The sequence below is a fragment of the Homo sapiens genome, chromosome 4 (genome assembly GCF_000001405.40).
Source record: "Homo sapiens chromosome 4, GRCh38.p14 Primary Assembly".
NCBI classification, from domain to species: domain Eukaryota; kingdom Metazoa; phylum Chordata; class Mammalia; order Primates; family Hominidae; genus Homo; species Homo sapiens.
This window is the reverse complement of record NC_000004.12, coordinates 101,841,465-101,862,696: the sequence shown is the minus strand read 5'-3', so window position 1 is coordinate 101,862,696 and position 21,232 is coordinate 101,841,465. Positions and strand designations below refer to the sequence as shown.

The 21,232-nt window shown below is 36.6% G+C and overlaps 1 protein-coding gene across 3 annotated transcripts in view; it reads right to left on the bottom strand.

Annotated features, from left to right (window-relative positions):
* BANK1 (B cell scaffold protein with ankyrin repeats 1) overlaps positions 1-21,232 on the bottom strand; it is a 284,083-nt gene that overhangs the window by 212,116 nt on the left and 50,735 nt on the right. For all 3 annotated transcript variants that reach the window (NM_017935.5, NM_001127507.3, NM_001083907.3), the window contains 2 exons: positions 7,508-7,662; positions 33-171 (listed from right to left, as the gene is read on the bottom strand). In NM_017935.5, the coding sequence (NP_060405.5) occupies positions 33-171; positions 7,508-7,662 (294 nt within the window). The remainder of the gene's footprint in view (positions 1-32; positions 172-7,507; positions 7,663-21,232) is intronic.

Genomic DNA, 21,232 nt, shown 5'->3' with positions numbered 1-21,232 from the left:
TTTTATGCTTATTAAATCATAAACATTCTTACCTAAAGCTTTCATGCACCAGACTTTCTTATTCCAAAGGGCTGGCCGTGTTCTAATGCGCTTATTACTTGATGTAAATTCAACCTCTACAGTATCACCAATTACTTCATCTCTCAAAATTATGAATATTTCACCAGGATTCTGTAAGATGAAAATGTAACCCATTTAAGCATTTGGAAAAGTTTACATTAACCAAAGAACCCATTACATTTCTTTATAATTAAGGTAATACACTATTATTGAATAAGTCTTCTATGGTGTTTGTATTTTCAACTGTATCCAGAAATAAAATACATAAATGTGATTCTCACTACATTTTAAATAGTATCAAATTTCTTTTTATTGTACGCTCTTTTTTTCCCTCTAATGCCATATTTTGCAACTTAAAGAAACAGTATGAATATAGCCTCTTCCTTTTCTTCTTGCGTCTTCCTCAATATGGCTCTCTGTACCAGGGTATAAGCATCATTTCGCAGACCAGCAGAAGGCTATAATTCAGCTGTTAACCAAATCATTTTTCCAAATCCCTTTTTTAGTCCTTTATATAACTTGGTTCCTTTATCTATAAATGATAGAATTGAAAAAGTTTAAGATCTCTTACAATTTAAATATAATGACTTTTAAGAAGTCCAATAGTTTTATATTTTATGTAGTAGAAGTTCAGTGGCCACTCTTTATTTGTGGTAAGTGTCTGCCATGGTTTTTGAGTTGACTAAAGGTTATAAATCTAAAGTTTCTAGATTTAATTAAGATGGAGAGGCCAAATGTATAAGGTGAAAAAGGTTATTGAATAACTTTGTGAAAAAATATTGAGAAAAAATACTAGGAATGAAAGATTGGGGTTAATACAGAGAAAAGAAAGGCATAAACATTTATTATCTATTTTATACTAGAAATTATACTCAGCACTTTTTAAATAAATATATTTCCTCTAAACCTAACTGAAACAGATAAACACAAAGACATACAGAAAGACAAACACACACACACACACATACACATACCAAAATAAATGGATAAGGCTATTTCTTTTTCTCTTTTAGGAAAAGGACAACTAATATACAGAATTACATTCTGAAGACTAATCAGAAATATTTAATTTCCAAATCCACACTAATCCTTATATCATGCTGTCGAACCCCATGAAAAAATTAAAATAAAACATTCTTTTTATGATTATCTTAGATATCACCCTTCAAAAGCTTTCTTCAAGTCATAATAAGTTTCAATTCCATACTTAAAAAAAACAGGGATCCCATTTATATGCTCTTATAAAATCATGTTTCTCAAAAAGTTACTAATTTCAAGATTCTCTTAAATGCCCCTAAGTATAAATTACTCACCAATAAAACTTACATCTTTATGCTTTATCCAAAAGAGTTTCTAATTATGTTGATGTTATAGAATCATTTCAGCTCACACAAAAATCTACTTCAGGCATTTTCCACCAGAGTCTAATACTCCTAAATATTTTTCCACAGGGAAAACTAAATTTCTCCTCAGAATTTACAACGCTCATCGGGAAAGGATCCTATTTCAAAGGAACTCCCACTATTCCACTTGTTGCTCTTGCCCCACACATGCAATGTGTCAGAAAAGCCGGAGTGTAAGCCCTCCTGTTCCTCACATCTGCAACCTCCTCCTCACAGGGCCTCGCTTCTAGTACAGTTCTTTTGTTCCTTTTGTTTCTCATATCTGCCCCTTACCTCAAATCTTTAAGAGCCAAATAATGTCTTTCCATTTCACTTGGGCTCAGTTAGTCAAGATCCTCTGCTTTAAAGTTCAAAGATCTTTCCTGTGTGTGCATCATTCCTTGTTTAACTTTGACTTATGGCTTTCCACATTTGGATAGTACACATGCACTCTCCCAGTGTTTTATCCACCCAACCGACTCCCAACTCATGACTGCTTCTGACACAGGAGATTCCTCACTCAGGGCCGGGTGCGGTGGCTCATGCCTGTAATCCCAGCACTTTGGGCGGCCGAGGCAGGTGGATCACCTGAGGTCAGGAGTTCAAGACCAGCTTGGCCAACATGGTGAAACCCCATCTCTACTAAAGACATGAAAATTACCCGGGCATGGTGGTGCACACCTGTAATCCCAGCTCCTCAGGAGGCTGAGGCAAGAAAATTGCTTGAGCCCGGGAGGCAGAAGTTGCAGTGAGCCGAGATCACGCCACTGCACTCCAGCCTGGGCGACAGAGCAAGTCTCTGTGTCGAAAAAAAATAAAAATAAAAAAAAAAGAAAGTCAGGACTCCACCTTTCAACCATTTCCAGAGAAATGTTCTAAGCAAAAGACAAACACACTGACCACCCCAAATGAGGCACTCACATCTTCATTTGTACCCATGGCCAGCTTCATGGGCCCATGACCTTACCGTCACACAGGGCCCCACACTTAGAAGGCCCTGTATTTGGTTTAATATTCTGCTGTAATTACCTTGACATTATAATAATTTGAACATGGTACTTTGTATTTTCATTTTGCACCGTAAACTAGGCAGCTGGGCTTGCTTGAACATAATGTTGGCATGATATTTAATTCCTTTTCTCCTTCTATATCCCCATATTTATCCTCTCCAACAATGTCCAACTCAGGTCTCACCAGCTCCACAAAATCCTCCTGCAACTTCAGCTCACAAAGAGTTTTAGAACTTTCAAAGGAACACTAAAGCACTGCATATCCATAACCATCATTTGACTGTTTCTGCACTGCATATCCATAACCATCATTTGACTGTTTCTAAGAGTCATGCTCTCTACTCCTGATTAGTTTTTCATGTCTGTGTCTTGCCTTTCTAGCTAGATGTTAAACATCCTAAGGGTGTTTTTATTTTCTTATATTATCGTAGCACCTTTCAAAAATTATTCACGTAAAAACATTCTGTATATATATTTTTAAATTAAGGTGAAGTAAGTCTGTAAAAATATGACACTTTAACATTGAGCATGCTCAGCTCTGTTCCATACTTCTCTCAGTACTCAAAGCTTCCTCAACTCCCGGGAGTAAGCACTGGCTCTTAATTACATTAGCTAATTTAATTCAATGGAGAAAATATTAGGATCCTCAAGTGGTCATAAATTAGTTTTACCACTTACGAAGCTATTGTTTTGCTCCCAATCTTTCTGACTCCTCTGTGAATCCCTTATTTAGGTCAGAGCATTCAGGGAAACAAAGGTTTATGACAATTATCACTTCCAAACTTTAAAGCTTGGCTACATTGGTCATAAGCCTTGAGACCTAACAAAAGAGGTGAAATCTGGTCTGCAATGTGGCATTTATATCCGAATCTCTGAGGTAGGACACAGGCATTATTTTGTGTGTATGAAAACTCCCCTAATAGTCCCTGTATGTAGCTTAGTTTTTGATAACCACCTATTTAAAAGAAAGAGACATCTTTTGGTCACTGTAAAACTTCACCTCTGAGAAGGCATCACTTCACAATACAGACTTTTCAGGCATTAATGCACACAAGCATCTTTTGCTGCTTTTACTGTATTTTCCAATTAAATCACAGGATTGGGCTTTAAGTTAAGGTTGGTTACCAAGGACTAGTTTGTGATTTGGTATCAGAAGTAAGTGGGTAGTGCTGTTAGCTTTTGTACACTGTTTTAAATTGTATTCAGAGTCAAGGGATGAACGGGCAAAAAGGTAATCTCTGAGATTCTTATGGCCTTTAAGAGTTACATTCTTTCATGTCATCTCAATTTATCTCTATATTTGTTTATTACATAATCCATGGTCTGTCGAAGGGCTGAAGACTCATATTAGGGTTTTAGCCTTAGAAGTGTGTCAATGAACAGGTCATATAAAATAAAGACCTTTATTAGGGAATATGGTATGTGGTAGGATTCTGATTGTAAAAACATTCAATAAAATTAATATAGATCCAAATGCTGATAAAGCCACTTTAACGGTCTTTTGTGGTTGCACGATGACTTTCAGAATTAAATTTTCTCAAGAAATCAATAAGTGACTCAACTGGTTTTTCAAATGTCTCTATCTTAACATCAGGATAGCAGCAGTGGGAAAATAAAATAAAAATAAAAGAATTAGGGTTGATTATATTAAAGGAAGTAAGAGATTTGGGGAGAAGGAAAGTTGAGATTACAGTGGGCAGATTCTACCAAAAGGAAGGGAAAATGATATATTTAAAGATCTGGGTTTAAAGAAAAAAAGAGATAAAGAAAATAAGCTCACTCCTAATTGTTCTATAGGATGGAGCTACTGCTGAGAAAATATGGAAGTCATTTCTGAATCTGTGACTAGGGATCACAAAAATAAGATTTAAACTTGACACTGTTGATATTTTTGGACCAAATGTGTCACTGTTGTGGGAGCTGTTGTGTGCATTACAGGAAGTTTAGCAGCTTTCAGAGTTCTACCCACTAAATGCTAGTAGCAACCCCCTAGTTATGACAATCAAAAATCTCTGCAAGCTTTGCCAAATATCCACTGGGTAGAGAGGGTCAAAATCACCTGCAGTGGAGAGCCACTTCTTTGAGGGAGTTTGCCGGTGTAATGGACTGCACAGGGAAGAGAAGTTACTAAAAAATAGATCAGGTCAAGTTCTGGTTTTGTTGTAATTCCAACGGGAGAGTACCTCACAGTTGGATTTTTCATCAGGGAGATAAAATTGGATGAGGTTCGTTTGAACAGTGGATGCATTTGGGAGACCTAGAACTCACATCTCTCATGGTCAATTGACCCACACAAAAAAACCAAGAGGCATATGCTAGAAAAACAAATGTCTTGGCCCATAAACAAAGAAAAGTCCAAAAAATACTAAAATAGAAAAAGTGTGCCAGTCTTATAGAAAGTAAAAGAAGAGGTCAAATTAAGAAACAGATTGGAACTACTAAAACTCACCTAGGTATTTCTCAAAGACACAGATAATTAACTTACATAAATAGGACAATGGAGGGATATCTTCACTAGTGCATGGGGAAAAAAAGTTAAAGAAATAAAGTAAAATATTTTTCTGCTGTTTGAGAAGTGGCACATAATTTTCAAGGTCTAGGAAATCCAAATCTGTGGAAAAGAGCAGTGCTAGGAAGAGTGACAAGGCAGAGGAATCAATATTCCCAAGCTCCAAGGGTCATAGGTAGTAGCAACAGCACCCACTGCCTTAATTAACGATAGACTAAAGTTAATGCTGCAGAGCAGATGAGGGCAGAAAGAAGAGAATTTCTCTAGGAGGCAGGTCCATAGACCTCAGCAATTCCACAGCAAGAGGCAGCAGCAGGAAAAATTTAAACTAACTCCCTTTTCATCAGAGAGAATGAAAATTACGCAACTATAAAGAGCTCATAGTCAACCCAGTGTTAGCATGCTGGAAACACAAAACTAAAAAGAGAAATTAACACAGTTTGAAGATACTGGGTATGAATCAGGCACATCTTAAGGAAGACCTGGTGACTGACTGAGGTAGTATGGTAAAATTTCTAGATTTTTTAGGATGATAGGGAAGCCTCAACTATCATTTCCTTAAGGCAGTAATCTTAAGTGGTCTCTATTCACGGACTACTTGGAAAACTTCTCAGAAATGAATTTGAATTCAAAGGTTGTGCTTTCAGACAGTTGACATAGGCTGAAAGTTGTCGTGGCAAGTCTGAAACATGATTTCCACTCAGTGGGTAAAAGTGGTCTTTTCTCTGGTGGTTGGCAATAGTCTTATGGATTCAGACTATACTAAAATCTAGGTTCTGAAAACAAAAAATCTTGTCTGGGATAACTATTTTTGGTCCAATGATTAGCTTACTTTGATTAGAATGTGGGGCTGGCACTAAAATAACTTTGTATAACCTTTTAAATGTTTAGGATTCTTTAAAAAGTGGGGTACCTAAAAGAAATTTTATATTGAAATAATTTAAATCCAAGAGTCTGAAAGAATTATATCAATGTCAATAAAAAACAGTCCATGATTCTCCTATTGAAAAAACCCTTATCTAACTAGCTATCTAAATAACACATCTTTGCTTAGATAGCAGTGAGGTTTGATTTTGGGACTGATTTCTTTGAAAATTTAGTAAGAGAAGGGTCTTACAGTGCTCGAATTTTACTGTTGCAGATATTTTTAAAAGCAGCTATTTAGACTCACTGTATAACTCCTGTTGAGCTACTTTTAGTTTCAGAGGGTTTTCTTTTTTCTGCTTTGATTTCATCTACTTGAGAGTAGTTGCCATTTTTCTTTTATTACACTTATTTTCTGTCTTTTCCATTGTTTCTGACTCAGTAGGAGCCACGAGTTCTGACTGTTCAGCCTGATCTCCTTCCTTTAAGTTCTGAGCCCTTGTAATTTTTCTTTGCCTGATCATCTGTGTCAGTTTCCTCATACCTGTATAGTTCCGTTTCCTGGGGTCTCTAAGGTAGTGTCAAAGCATTTTTTTGTTCCTCTGGAACTGACAGCAAATAGCTTAAAACAGCAATTCTTCTGCTTAGGCATGGGGTAAGGGTCTAGAGAGTGAGGGTGAGGAAACTAAACTATACCCTTCTACACAGGATATTCCACCTCCATCAGGACCACTGGTACCAGTAGGATCAGGAGACCCACCCAAAGGTCAGTGAGCCCCTGTCACTGGCTTCTATCAGAAAGACTCCTTCAGGCAACTCCCATAACGCTCTCCTGTATCTCTGGCTCTTTATACTCAAGGATGCCACAAACTGAGGCCCAGCATCTTTTTCATGTCCTAAGATTATATAGTCAGATATTTGGAAAGGCTTATTTTAGTGGTTCATTCCAAGCAAGATTTAGGAGGAAGACATGCTAGGAACATATATTCCCACAGTCACCTGCCCAGAAATCATCCCCCCACATTATACTCTTATTTCCTGAAGGACTATCTCTTCTAACTTTTATGGTATTTCCACTTAATGTCAGCCTTTAATACATGTTTCTTCATTGAAAATATGGTGTGGTCCTAAAAATAAAGTATTTTAAAATTCTATCCAAGGGTATGTTTCCCTTTAGGAAAATAGATCCTTAACCTATTTACTGTGAATCTAAATTTCTTTTGACTAGCTTGAGAGCTATTGCAATTGTACATCTATTTGCAAAATGTGAAGTCACAGTTGATAAAATTAAGCTTCCATATAACCTTCACTATTTAATTTTTCAACAATTATGTAACAAATGCCTATTAATTCAACTATCATCCAGTGTGTATCAAATGCCTGCTAATTGCCTAGGTTCAGAGGATAGCCATGAACAAAGCAGACAAAAATGACAGCTATGTTGGAGCTTGCATTCTTGTGAAATACAATATCTATTAAAAAAATAACAGGTGGGCTGGATGCGGTGGCTCATGCCTGCAATCTCAACATTTTGGGAGGCTGAGGCAGGAGGATCTCTTGAGGCCAGGAGTTAAAGACCAGCCTGGGCAACCTAATGAGACCCTGTCTCTCCAAACAACAACAACCACCACCACCACCATAACACAATGGGGTCACTTAAATAACAAGGTATCTTTACTGACCTCACATGGAATTTCAGTGGGAAGCACCACTGCTAGTGGTATGGTGTTTCTTGAAGCTTCTGATAGTTCTTCAATTTCCTTTCTCTCACTTATTTCCCCAGAATGTTTTGCTCGTAGGTCTGTTGGAATGTTGACCTCAAAGTAGTCTTCAGAATCTAGAGAAAATTTTATGAATGTAGATTATAATATAACTAAAGCCACAGTATTTCCTCCATTGCTATAAAGACTAATTGCTAAACAACCAATTTAATATACGGGAAACCGAACTGAGTTTAAGATAGCTGAAATAATTGAACCAATGTTAATAATTAAAATAATACTTCACAATTTAACTAGTTTTATAATCTTTATGACTAAACTAAATCAACTATGTAATACTATGTTCATCTACTAGTTAAGTGTTTTCCAAAAAATAGAATCCAGTCACCATATCTATTTTCTCTTAATATTAAAACAGTAGATCTGTAAAACATAAAACCATTTGTTTTCCATGACGGTTATTAAGGACATTTATTTTAAGTCAGAACAATTTAAATCAGAATAGTTATTTGCCCCTTACATATTTCTAATTTAAAAAAAAAACAGAAAGCACAATTATGGGACAATCACTAAATAAATTAGACTAGTATTTATTTCTAGGAAATACTGGTTTAATAGTGAAATACTAGTACTTACCAAAATGTTAATGCATTCTATGGAAATAAGTGTCTATATCAAATAAATTGGGTTTCCTTATAGCAGTATTACTAAGAACACTGAAATATGCTAATGTAAATTTTGAATCTCAAAGAAGCAGCATAGCATCTGATTTTAAAAATTTTAACAGTAATTTAGCATTTAGTCTTAATCATTAAAACATTGTTCTCTATTTGAAAAAATGTGTTAAGAGAAATAGATCATGTTTTATTATTATTCAGTGTCTCAAAGCCCAAAATGTTTCACTATGGCACAGAACCAATGTGGCTAAAATTAAAACTCTTGAAATGAGAAGGTCACATCTATAAACTCATGCCCACCCAAAAGCAGCCCTGAAACCCCCCAAGAAGGGAACTGGAAAAAAGAAAAGCAGCCCCTGACAGTTAGAAACTAGGCTGGCAACATGAGAATGCCTTGCTTTTCCGGAAGTTAGCCTGCTACTCAGAGGCGGAATCTGGTTTTCTACTGAGCACCAACAACATCGAAATTAGACAAGGCCACTCTGTCACCATGATGAACCAAGAGAGTGACAAGACCACGTTGTAATCATGTCAGAATCTAGACAAAATAATGAACATTGCCCAAACCACAAAAATGAGCAAATCCTGGCTAGTATGAATGACTGCTTCTTTAGCAATTCCAGCTGTAGCCTCATCTCATTTCTCCTGCCCTCTACGCGGTGTGATCCACTCCTCCTAGTTTGTCTGGGAATTTCCTGGTTTGGGTTCTGAAAATGCCTTGCCCCAGGAGACCCCTCAGTCTCAAGCAGACCAGAAAAGTTGGTCCGTTACTTCCAAGTAGAGTCATTAATATTCCATTAATATGTCAAATCATAAAATTACGCCTGCTTCTTGATAGCAGGCAAACTATATCCAAGCCCTGCTTCCTTGAACCCTCCTCAAATCACTGAACACAAGTCTAAATCTTCCAAGTCCTTTCTAATGCCCTTTTCCTGAGATACCCCATGGTTCTCCCTGATGTGCCTTCTCTTTATTGCAACAAGAAAAAAAATCCAAATACTTCAAGTGCAGGTACATTCCTGGTGCTCTTTGGCTAAGCAGCATTGACAGGGTAAAAAGAAAGAGTCAAAGGCAGTAGATTTGGAAGTAGTTAGAATATTGGTCTCACTGTATCCAAAAAAAAGAGAAGTCACCAGCTCCATATAGGTAATTCTATCAGAAAAGCAGAGTAACAAAAGAGAGCCTCCCTTGAGAGGGAGGAGCTGTCTCCACGCTGTTTCTGAGAAGAAAAGTTTTCTTGTTTTCTTCTGTCTTATGAAAGTTGCAGAACTAAGGCACAACAGTACCTAGGACTTCCAGCTTCCTCTCAGTACTAGTCTTGTTTGAAATGAAAAACAGTCCTTATTTCACTAACAATTTAAAACACTTTCATAAGCAATCTCTTTCTTTCTTTCTCTCTCTCTCTCTTCCTCCTGGCTTATACACACACACATAGACATACACAAATCAAAACAGTGAAAGGTTGTATAAAACTGGCTCAATACTTTTGTGAGTTTGTAGAAAAACTAAGAAATGGATTTTATTTAATACACCTTAAAAGAAGGAGAAGTCATTCCACCATGGCAGTATCCAGGATTTTCTGCTAATTCTTCTGTGATATTAGGTAAAAAAAAGTTATTTTATTTACCCTGGGGACATAATCACAAATGTACAAAAAGATTTATCTCTATGAATATTCACAGAAGTAGTGTTTGTAATGGAGAAAATTGGAAGCAATCTAAGAAATAAGGAATAAGATAAAAATATCTTATGCGATAAAAGTTGTAATTGATAAAACTAATAATTCTATCAAAGAGTATTTAACAGGCAGCAAGAAGTTTACGATATAACTGAAAAAATTCAAGTTACAAAACTGTCAATTTAGTAGGCTCCTATTCTAGTAAAATAAAAACTGTACATATACAGAGCTATGTGGTAGGAATTAAAGACATAGGCTTGAATGAATGAGAATAGACTATATGTGTGTGTGTATATATATATATATATATATATATATATATATAGCCGAAAAATATTGAGTGGTTCTTTCTGGCTTGTGGGTCATGTGTAATTTACTAAATAGATATAAATATATAATATTAATAACATCTAATAATACAGTATATGTAATACATATTCTGATTTTTCTACACTGAAAATGTATTTATTTTACAGGTTTAAATTATGTATGTATATTTAATTCAAGTAGAGGAATGAAATGATGAAGATTGCAGACTGAGAACATGTATCTATTTTCCTACTCTACAACATATAAATGCAATAATAGAAAAGATTGCTTTTAAGATAATGAATGTATTAAAGCACTAGAAATTGATAAATGGTGCAATTACATAAGAACAAATTTTGAGGAGTTTCTCAAAGATAAAAGTTAATCTGGAACTAAATGAACAGAGACATCACAACAGAGAAAACGGAGTCCAAAACATGTTTGGAAAAGACAACTTCAAATAGAAAATTCGTTTTCCAAAACTAATTACTTTCCAAAACTGAAGAAACCACGAACTCAAAATTCAAAGAGCAGAAGAAGGTCCTGGGACAAAGATAATGTTAATAAGTTAAAACCTAATTTGGAACAGAGATAACTGGGACTTTCCCAGCTGCTACTTCTACTGAGCAAAAGGAAGTTTTGCTTTTGCCCTAAGAATAAAAGAAGCCTATTTTATAAAACAAAATTAGCTAGTACTGGGACTGAATAAGGGAACAGAATGGAACCTGCACTTACCACCCTTCCCAAAGACAACAGAGAAAGAAAAACTGATAAGAGAAGGGCTAACTCCAGCAATTTTTTTCCAAGGGTTAAATGTGTAGGCTTGGCTCTCTGCTTTGTAGGTGTTTTGACCAGGATATTCATAGGAGCAACAACTATTAACTGACAGTGATTCTCAACTAAAAATATAAACCGCCACCCAAGATTATCCTTCCCCTCTCCTTCTACTCTATCTCCCACCCAAATTCACTCATTATTCCTTTGAGGCACCTTTTCTTACCAACACCTTAGTCGAACTTGACACCTCTATATCTCTAGTGCATACAGTTGTGCCTGGCACATGGTAGAGGCTTAATAAATACTTGTTGCCTGGTTTAATAATCAAATAAATCCACGCCTAGTTAGGTTTTTTTAAATGATTTATATCTCAAGGACAGTACTTTATTCTATCTACCACATGCCTTGCTCTGAAAAAGGCTTAAGGACATATTATGGCTGTTTTGATGTTCTATCCAGATCATTCAAACTTTCTCCACATCAGCAATAAAGTTGTTTTGCTTTCTTATCATTTGTGTGTTCACTGGAGTAGCACTTTTAATTTTCTTCAAGAACTTTTCCTTTGCACTCACAACTTGGCTAATTGTTTGAAGAAAGAATCCTAGCTTTCTACCTATATTGGCTTTTAACATGCCTTTCTCACTAAGCTTAATTATTTTTAGCTTTTTATTTTAAGCGAGAGATGTGTGACTCTTTCTTTCACTTGAACACTTGGAGGCCATTGTAGGCTTATTCATTGGCCTAATTTCAATAGTGTTTTGTCTCAGGGAATAGGGAGGCCCAAGCAGAGGGAGAGAGATGGGGGAATACCCAGTCAGTGAAGCAGTCAGAATACACAAAACGTCTATTGCTTAAATTCACTGTCTTGTATGGGTGCAGTCCATGGCACCCAAAACAATCACAATGGTAACACCAAAGATCATTTGTCACAGATCACCACAACAGACATAATGATAATGAAAAAAGTTTGAAATAGTGCAAGAATCACCAAAATGTGACACAGAAACATGAGGCAAGTGCATACTGTTGGAAGAATGGTGCCAATAGACTTGCTCAACAAAAGGTTGCCACAAACCTTCAATTTGTAAAAAATGCAGTGTCTGTGTAGCACAAAAAAGCAAAGCACAGGCCGGGCACGGTGGCTTATGCCTGTAATACCAGCACTTTGGGAGGCTGGGGCAGGCAGATCACTTGAGGTCAAGAGTTCGAGACCAGCCTGGCCAACATGGTGAAACCCCGTCCCTACCAAAAAATACAAAAAAAAAAAAAAATTAGTTGGGTGTCATGGCACACGCCTGTAATCCCAGCTACTTGGGAGGCTGAGACAGGAGAATTGCTTGGGCCCAGGAAGCAGAGGTTGCAGTGAGCCTAGATCACACCACTGTACTCCAGCCTGGGTGACAAAGCAAGACTCCCTCTCAAAAAAACAAACCAACCAACCAAACAAACAAACAAACAAAAAGACACCCAAACACAAATTCAAAGCAGAACAAATCAAGGTATGCTCATATTAAGTGCAATAATAAAAATATTTTATACTCTAATGAGTTTTTACAGTTTATCAAGACTTTTACTGACATTGTATTTCATTCTGAACACACCCTTAAAAATATAATCCCTATCCAGTGATGGATTACTGAATTTCTGTCAAACATTTAAAACTATTTGTAGACAGCTCTTATATTCTGTGAGTGAGAAACTGTTCCTCCTCAATAAAATGTGAAGCCAAATAGAATCTTTCTTTCCTCTTCTAACACTTTTCTAAAATGTGCAGAGAATATAGTATTTTGTATCAAACAGACATAGAAAACTAAAAAGCAGATAGAATTAACCTAGGAATAAAGTAACAGAGCCATAAGTAGTAAATTCAATAGAAAAATCCCAAATTTTCCAAAGTAAATAAATGACGAAGTTTTTCCGGCCCTTGGGTAGAAAATGAAACTTCACTGATGTTTAGATAACAATTTGAGTTAATTTTCCTTTTTATATAAGCTTTAAATAGTTTAGAAGGTAATTAGATAGACATAATCATATATATACACACACACAAATTTTATTGTGTATATATACACACACATAAATTTTTTTATATAGTATGTGTTAATACATACAAATTACCTATATTTCCATGTCCTAAGAATATGAGTGTGTGTATACATATATATGCTTATATATTTGTGTGTGTGTGTATATGTGTGTGTGTGCGTGTGTATCTCCATGTCCTAACTAAAAACGCCACCACCACTGTATGTTCATTGTTAAGCTAAAGACATGTATTGGGCATTCAGGTTGGCCTCCTCAGAAGTGGGTCTGAAACTTAAAATGGTGAAGAGAAGAGAGAGAACATTCTAGCCATTGGACCTATATTCTCATAACTCCTTTCTCCAGTCTCCATGAGATCCAGGAAGTGACCAGCACTCAATAACTATTGGTAAAATAAATGCATTATTGTATATCAACTGAACATACTTCAAGGAGATGAGGTTGGAAGAAGCGGATTAAGAGTAAAAAAGTACCAAACCTCTCTTTGAGAAAGGCCTACCTGCAATTGCCATGAGACTCCAGGAAGTAATGACAACTTTAATGTTTCAATTTCTGGTATTGCCTTCAGTACACTACAGGTTTTTACATGTAACTGTGGAACCTAGTGTGATAGGCTTAAGTAAAGTACAAGGGGGCTAAGTGCAGGGAAGTAAGAGCAAGGCATGTATGTCCAGCCCCAGTTGCCTCCGTGGCTCAGCAGATAAGGGGATAAGCCTATGATGCAGCTAGAACTTGGGGAGTGATTGCATCGCTGAAAGGGAGAGGTGGGAGGATGCTAGAAGGGCATAAACAAGATCCTGGAATGAGAGACTAGGAAGAGAATGAAGGGACATCCATCTCTAATGCCTAAAAGTTAGAGACCCTTGCCATTGCAAAAAGTATGAAAAAGAGGCTGTATATTAAAATTACCTATGTTTAAGTAACAATAGAATTGTTTTGTTCTGTTTTGTTTTTACTATCACGATTGAATAGCTAAATTAAATAATAAAGCATGAAGCAATTAACAAAATAATATTACTCTTCACTTTAAACTGCATGCCCTTGACACTGGATTGTATTTCTCTTATATCTCAAGTGCATGACTGTATTATCTTAGCAAATGGATCTAGTGCCTAATCTTTCCTTTCCCAGTGTAGCAAGGTAAACCTTAAGTTACTGTGTAGAAACTGGAGTGTTTTTAGTGATGACTTCTAGCTAGCAAGTGAAATGGAAGCCATAATTAATTTATTGCCTAAAAGAAAAAAAATTAAAATATGGGTTTGACCTAAAATGAATACCGGAGATCATGGCGGACAGGAGGAGGCAGGACTAGAGTGCAACTCCAGACAGAGCAGCAAGCGGGGGCTCGCATTGTGAATTTTAGCTCCAGATTAACTACAAGAACAAACCAGCAATCCCGAGAGGACCCACAGACCCTCTGGAGGAAGCGGACTGCTCCTACAGGACCCAGGAGACCCCCCCCAAAACTATGAGTGCCCCAACTGCGGAAGTGGGAAAGAGAGACCCTCCTCTCCCGAACACACAGCCCCACTGGAGAAGCTGAAGATCTGTTTGCGGGAGAAGTGTCTAACTTTCCCTGACTGAGTCAATTTGGAGAGCAGAGCAAAACACCGAGGTAGAGGAGGTAGCAGAAAGGCCCTGGGAGCTCACTGGGTTCCCAGGCAGCCATTCCTCGCTGGCGCCAAAGGGATCCATCAGGAAGATGGCCAGAGGAGCAGGGGGTAAAACTCCACAGGGAGAAGGAATTCTCTAGCTGAACTTTGTAACAATTTGAACGGGGCAAGAAGCTTCCTGGCCAGAACTCAGGGGAGGGAGCGAATCCGGCAAAATCGTGGAACCAACCCAAATGCCCATCAATCAACGAGTGGATAAAGAAACTGTGTGAGACATATGTGTGTGTGTGTGTGTGTGTGTGTGTGTGTGTGTGTGTATGATGGAATACTACGCAGACATAAAAAGGAATGAATTAACAGCATTTGCAGTGACCTGGATGAGATTGGAGACTATTATTCTAAGTGAAGTAACTCAGGAGTGGAAAACCAAACATCGTATGTTCTCAATGATATCTGGGAGCTAAGCTGCGAGGAGACAAAGGCATAAGAATGATGCAATGGATTTGAGGGACCTGTGGGAGTGAGGGATAGAAGACTACAAATATGGTGCAGTGTATATTGCTTGGGTGATGGGTGCACCAAAATCTTACAGATCACCACTAAAGAACTTACACATGTAACCAAATACCACCTGCACCCCAATAACTTATGGAAAAATTAAAAATAATAATAGTAAAAAAAACTAAAAAGAGACAAAATACAAAAATAAATACCCCAAACTTCTCATGAATATGAATAACAACTAACAACTACTGAACATTGACTATGTGCCAGTACTATTCTTAGTGCCTTGCATATATTAACTCACTATATACATACACACACACACACACACACACACACACACACACACACTCTGCCAACCCAAGAGGCAGGCAATAATATTATCCTTGTTATATGGATTTCTTTGAACAAATATTTACCAGCCAACTATGTACCAGGTGCTATTCAGGATGCAGAGGACATGGTGGTAAGCCTTCCTTCATACGACTTGCAATCTAATGAGGGGAGGCAAACGATATATGAGTAAAATCTGGAGCGCAGCAGATGCTGACAGGGAGGGTGAGGAAAAGGGATGGAAGTTGCCATTTTTAATAAGGAAAATAAGGTTCTGAGCAATAAATGAACTCTTCAAGGCCACACAGCTAGTTATTGCTGAAGTCAGGAGAATACCTAGCTAGTCAGACTTCAGAGAACCTTGATCACTACTAGATATGGTTTGGCTCTGTGTTCCTACACAAATCTCATCTCGAATTGTAATCCCCAGGTGTTAAGGGAGGAATCTGGTAGGAGGTGACTAGATCACGGGGGTGGTTTCCCCCATGCTGTTCTCATGATAGTGAGTCAGTTCTCACAAGATCTGCTTGTTTAAAACTGTAGCACTTCCCCTGCCCTCTCTATCTCCTGCTGCCATGTAAGATATTCCTTGCTTCCCCTTCACCTTCCACCATGATTTTAAGTTTCCTGAGGCCTTCTTGGCCATGCAGAACTGTGAGTTATTTAAATTACCCAGTCTTAAAAATTACCCAGTCTTCTTAAAAATTACCCAGTCTTAAAAATTACCCAGTCTTGAGTGTTCTTTATAGCAGTGTGAAAACAGACTAATACACTACCCTATACTGTTTCCCAACCCACAGTTTTATCCATGCATACAGCAGTCAATTTATCACAGGAATTATCTGATGGAATCAAAAACACAAAATTTTCAGAGCTGTTAAAAACAACATATCCTTGCAATAGTTTGCTGAGAATGATGGTTTCCAGCTTCATCCATGTCCCTACAAAGGACATGAACTCATCATTTTGTATGGCTGCATAGTATTCCATGGTATATATGTGCCACATTTTCTTAATCCAGTCTATCATTGTTGGACATTTGGGTTGGTTCCCAGTCTTTGCTATTGTGAACAGTGCGGCAATAAACATACGTGTGCCAAACACCACATGTTCTCACTCATAGGTGGGAATTGAACAATAGGAACACATGGACACAGGAAAGGGAACATCATACACTGGGGCCTGTTGTGGGGTGGGGGAAGGGGGGAGGGATAGCATTAGGAGGTATACCTAATGGTAAATGACGAGTTAATGGGTGCAGCACACCAACATGGCACATGTATACATATGTAACAAACCTGCACGTTGTGCACCTGTACCTTAAAACTTAAAGTATAATAAAAACAAAAACAAAAACAAAAACCCTATGGCCCAAATCTCTAGTAAAAATGTCTAAGGCATTAATTCTTACCATAGCATAAGATTATACCTTATTTGACATTGCATTGATGTTTCAGTTAGGATTGCTAATTTACATAGAAATGACAATTTATGAGTAAGTCAGTATGCTTATCAGTTCTTGTTTCTCACTGAAATATCTCACAAGGATGATTTACTTTACAAAGAATTCCCAGAGGCAGCTATATGTTGTCAATTGGTTTTCACTGCTAGAGAAAATGATTATTTTTATTGTGTCAAATGTGTAATCCTTACCAATAGGTAATAATGATTCTTCTTGGTCTAAAATGGATTTGAAAAAGACAGGTAAATATCTCAGTTGTTTTCTCTCAAGTAGCTTCAAATTCTTTACAGTTATCTAAGAGGTAGTACTTGAATTTTGACAGCAGGCTTTTTTTGGCATGTTTTTCAGAATATTAATCAACATATTAATCTGATATATTTAGGAATATTTTCATAAAATTTCAGGGATGCTATATCTGAGGATTTTAACTTGTAAATTTAAAATATCTGACTGCTATATGTACATAAATAAATTGGTGATGTAGTATCTTTTTTAATTTTTTAATTTTTAACTTTTGTTGGTACATAGTAGGTATATATATTTATGGGGTATGTGAGCTATTTTGGTACAAGCATGCAATACATAATAATCACATCATGGAACGGAATAGTATTTAGTTTCATATTTTCATATGACTAGGTAAAATGATTTTGAAACTGCTTGCTTCCATATAAAGCAACCTTCTAAATAATATTTTAATTTCCTTTCACTTTCTCAGAAATATTATATATAAGTATATCCGATCCTCAGCTTAAAAAATTGTAGAAACTGAGTCTACTCACCTTTGAGACAGAAATAAGTTTTGTTTATCACCCCATTTATTCAGTAGGGTATGTTAAATTAAAAAAGGACCCTTCCCAGTTAGGTCTAGGAAAACTTTCCTTGAGGATCACTCTATTGATAGATAAAGCCCTAAAAGAAGCTTGTTTGGGGTTGGTGTAAAAGTAAGCTAGTAAGTACTGAGTTTTGACTATGTCTCAAATGCCCTATGTAGAAATTTATATCCATAATCATATTTAATCCTCACACTCATCCCAAGGGATGCAACCATTATCTTCTGAGAAGAATTATGATTTTACTAAGAATTGAGTTTTTAAAAAGTTAAATAAATTGTCATAAGTCACAAAGCTTCACTTAAACCCAGGTCTGTCTGACTCCAAACCCTCTGCTCTTGGTCACAAAGTCATACTTTGCACTGAGGGTAAAAGACCTTTGGCAGATCCACCTACATCTTGTCCTTCCTCAGCCTCACACAAGAGAAGTTCTAGCAAGTGGGCCTTGTCAGCAGACTTGCTTGTGTTCTGAGATAGGAAAGGCCCTCATGACCCACCTGGTTTGCCATTGCAGTCTTTCCAATCTTCTCACCAGTTCCTGAAACCACAATCTTTCATTCCTTCATATAGGCTCTTCTGTTTCGCCTATTGTGCCTAACCCCATTTTTCCCTCTAATTACTTTACAACATTCACATCAATGGTTGCTTCTAGTGGAAGATCCTTCCTATCTCCCACTTGGCAATAGCTCTTTGGATGCACTGCACCTCATTAGAACTATTGTCACACTGCATTACATTATTTACATATTATTTACTTTCCTGTCCCTTTCATTAGATAGTGATATCTGGATGTCCATAATCAATAATCTTTACATCTACCTCAACTCCATGGATTAAAGGCCTGCCACATAGTAGAAGCTCAATAAAATCCACTGATTTAGCTAAAACCATTATTTAGTGGATAAGCAGCCAAGCCAAAGGGGAATATATGTATTCCAAAAGAATGTAATTATTCTTGTAGCCATATATTTATTTATTAATTTTTATTTTTATTTTTTTTGAGACCGAGTCTTGCCCTGTCACCCAGGCTGGAGTGCAACGGTGTGGTATCACCTCACTTCAACCTCCGCCTCCCAGATTCCAGCGATTCTCCTGCCTTAGCCTCCCAAGTAGCTGGCATTACAGGTGCGTGCCAGCACGCCCAGCTAATCTTTTTTTTTTGTATATTTAGTAGAGATGGGGTTTCACCTTGTTGGCCAGGCTGGTCTCAAACTCCTGACCTCGTGATCCACCCACCTCGGCCTCCCAAAGTGCTGGGATTACAGGCATGAGCCACCAAACCTGGCTGTAGCCATATATTTAAAAGAAAATTACGCAAAGACAATATACTAGACACAGAAAATATGAATTTTCTGGTTGATGGACAAAGCATCACTAATATCTAAGTGGGTTCCAGGGTTATGGGAAAGCATTCCTAACATTTGAATATAATAATAAAGGAAAAAATGATAAAATGTGTAACACTAATGTTTCAATTAACAATGGGAAAATACATCCCAGAGATCAAAAGGATAATATGAAGAAAGTGCCTGAATGCATTTTGAGCAGAGTAATTTGGTATGATTAATATGCTCTTGAAGAAGGCACTATGGGGCACCATTTTACGTCATTGAATCAAGATTAATATAGTGGAATATTTATCAAAAAAGTACAAAATAGGGAAGTAATACTGATAAGGAAAAGTGAAACTAAACCTTACTATAATAAGACCAAAGGGGAAAGTAGGTGTACTAAGAAGATGGTACATTAAAAAAGTGGACACTGTTTTTTGTTTGAAATTCTGAAATGTAAAGCCTAAAATGAAAGGAAATACATTTTTCTGTATGAAAAAGAAAATGTTTCCAACAGAAAATTCAGAAAATCATTTACTTTAAAAGTTTTAATTTTTCTAAGTATCACTATACTGTTCCAGACAGAAAAACTTTCTAAAGCTCATTTAGCATGAGAAGATAACTGAAATTGGATTCAAATAAAATAAATTGCAAGTTTATACGTGTAAATCAAGAAATGATGTCTAAGACATTAAATATGTTAAATTGTGACACTCTTGTGAAACCTAGAATGCAGAGGTGCAAATAAAAGCTGAGAATCTCTCATGACTGAAAATATAGGTGATGAGGAAAGGGAAAATTCACCACCTGTGACAGCATTAGCTCAGCTGTCCATGTGCCCGGGTTTTTATATTTCAAGATGACAATATTATCACCTCAGATTTCATCCTAGACTCTGAAATATAAAAACCCAAACACATAGATTAGACTTGAGTACGTATATATCTAAGAAATTAGAAATGATCTAGTTCTCTGCAAGTAGCCTAAAAATTATTTTTTCAAAGTCAAACCAAAATTTGTCCAAGAGTATAGTTATTTGAAATGGGGATGCTAGAAGTATTTGGTCCACATTCCAGTTCTGTTATTTTCTAGTTGCCTCCTCTGTTTGTGTTTTTACTTAAAAATGAGAATAGTACTAGTAACTGCACCTAATGTTTTTGTGACAATTAAACTTTAAAATGTGTAGAAAGTTCTTTTATTGGTGGTTGGCTCATAGAATTTATTAATGAATGTTAGAAATTAATTTTTAAATGGAAGGAATAAAGGAATTGATCAATCGTGAACAAATAATGGAAGAGAAATCATATAATCTCTTGTCTAAGTGCTATTGCCATTTGGCTTAGAACTTTGGAAAGGAGAAGCCAGTGTTCTGACGCAACATGGGTTCTACCAGATTCTTCCCCACTTCTGGACCATAGGTCTTGCACAAAGAATGCAAGGTGTCAGAATTTCAATTTCACAATCTGTCAAATAACAATGTTTGAGGAGATATTATTTGAGACCACTTTTAATGCTATAACTGGTTTAATTATTTATAAGAAAGGTTTTTTAAATTTCTTCATATGAAGTACCAGAAAATTCTTCATATTCATTTATGTTATTCTATTTTTCATAATAATTCATCTGTGAGTAGCTTATCTATAAAATTTTTGCTCCTCCCTACATCAACATATTGAACAATTCTGTGTAATTAAGATTATTACCAAAAAACCAAACACCGCATATTCTCACTCATAGGTGGGAATTGAACAATGAGAACACATGGACACAGGAAGGGGAACATTGCACTCTGGGGACTGTTGTGGGGTGGGGGGAGGGGGGAGGGATAGCATTGGGAGATATACCTAATGCTAGATGACGAGTTAGTGGGTGCAGCACACCAGCATGGCACATGTATACATATGTAACTAACCTGCACATTGTGCACATGTACCCTAAAACTTAAAGTATAATAATAATAATAATAATAATAAAAGATTATTACCATTAGAATCTATGCTTTCATTATTTTGAATTATTCATTCCAAACTGGAATCATTCATTGGAGTTCACTGTTGATTTCAGTGAGATTTTCATTTCCCATGGAATAGTTGTCAATATATCATCTCTGGGCCATATGAAATCTT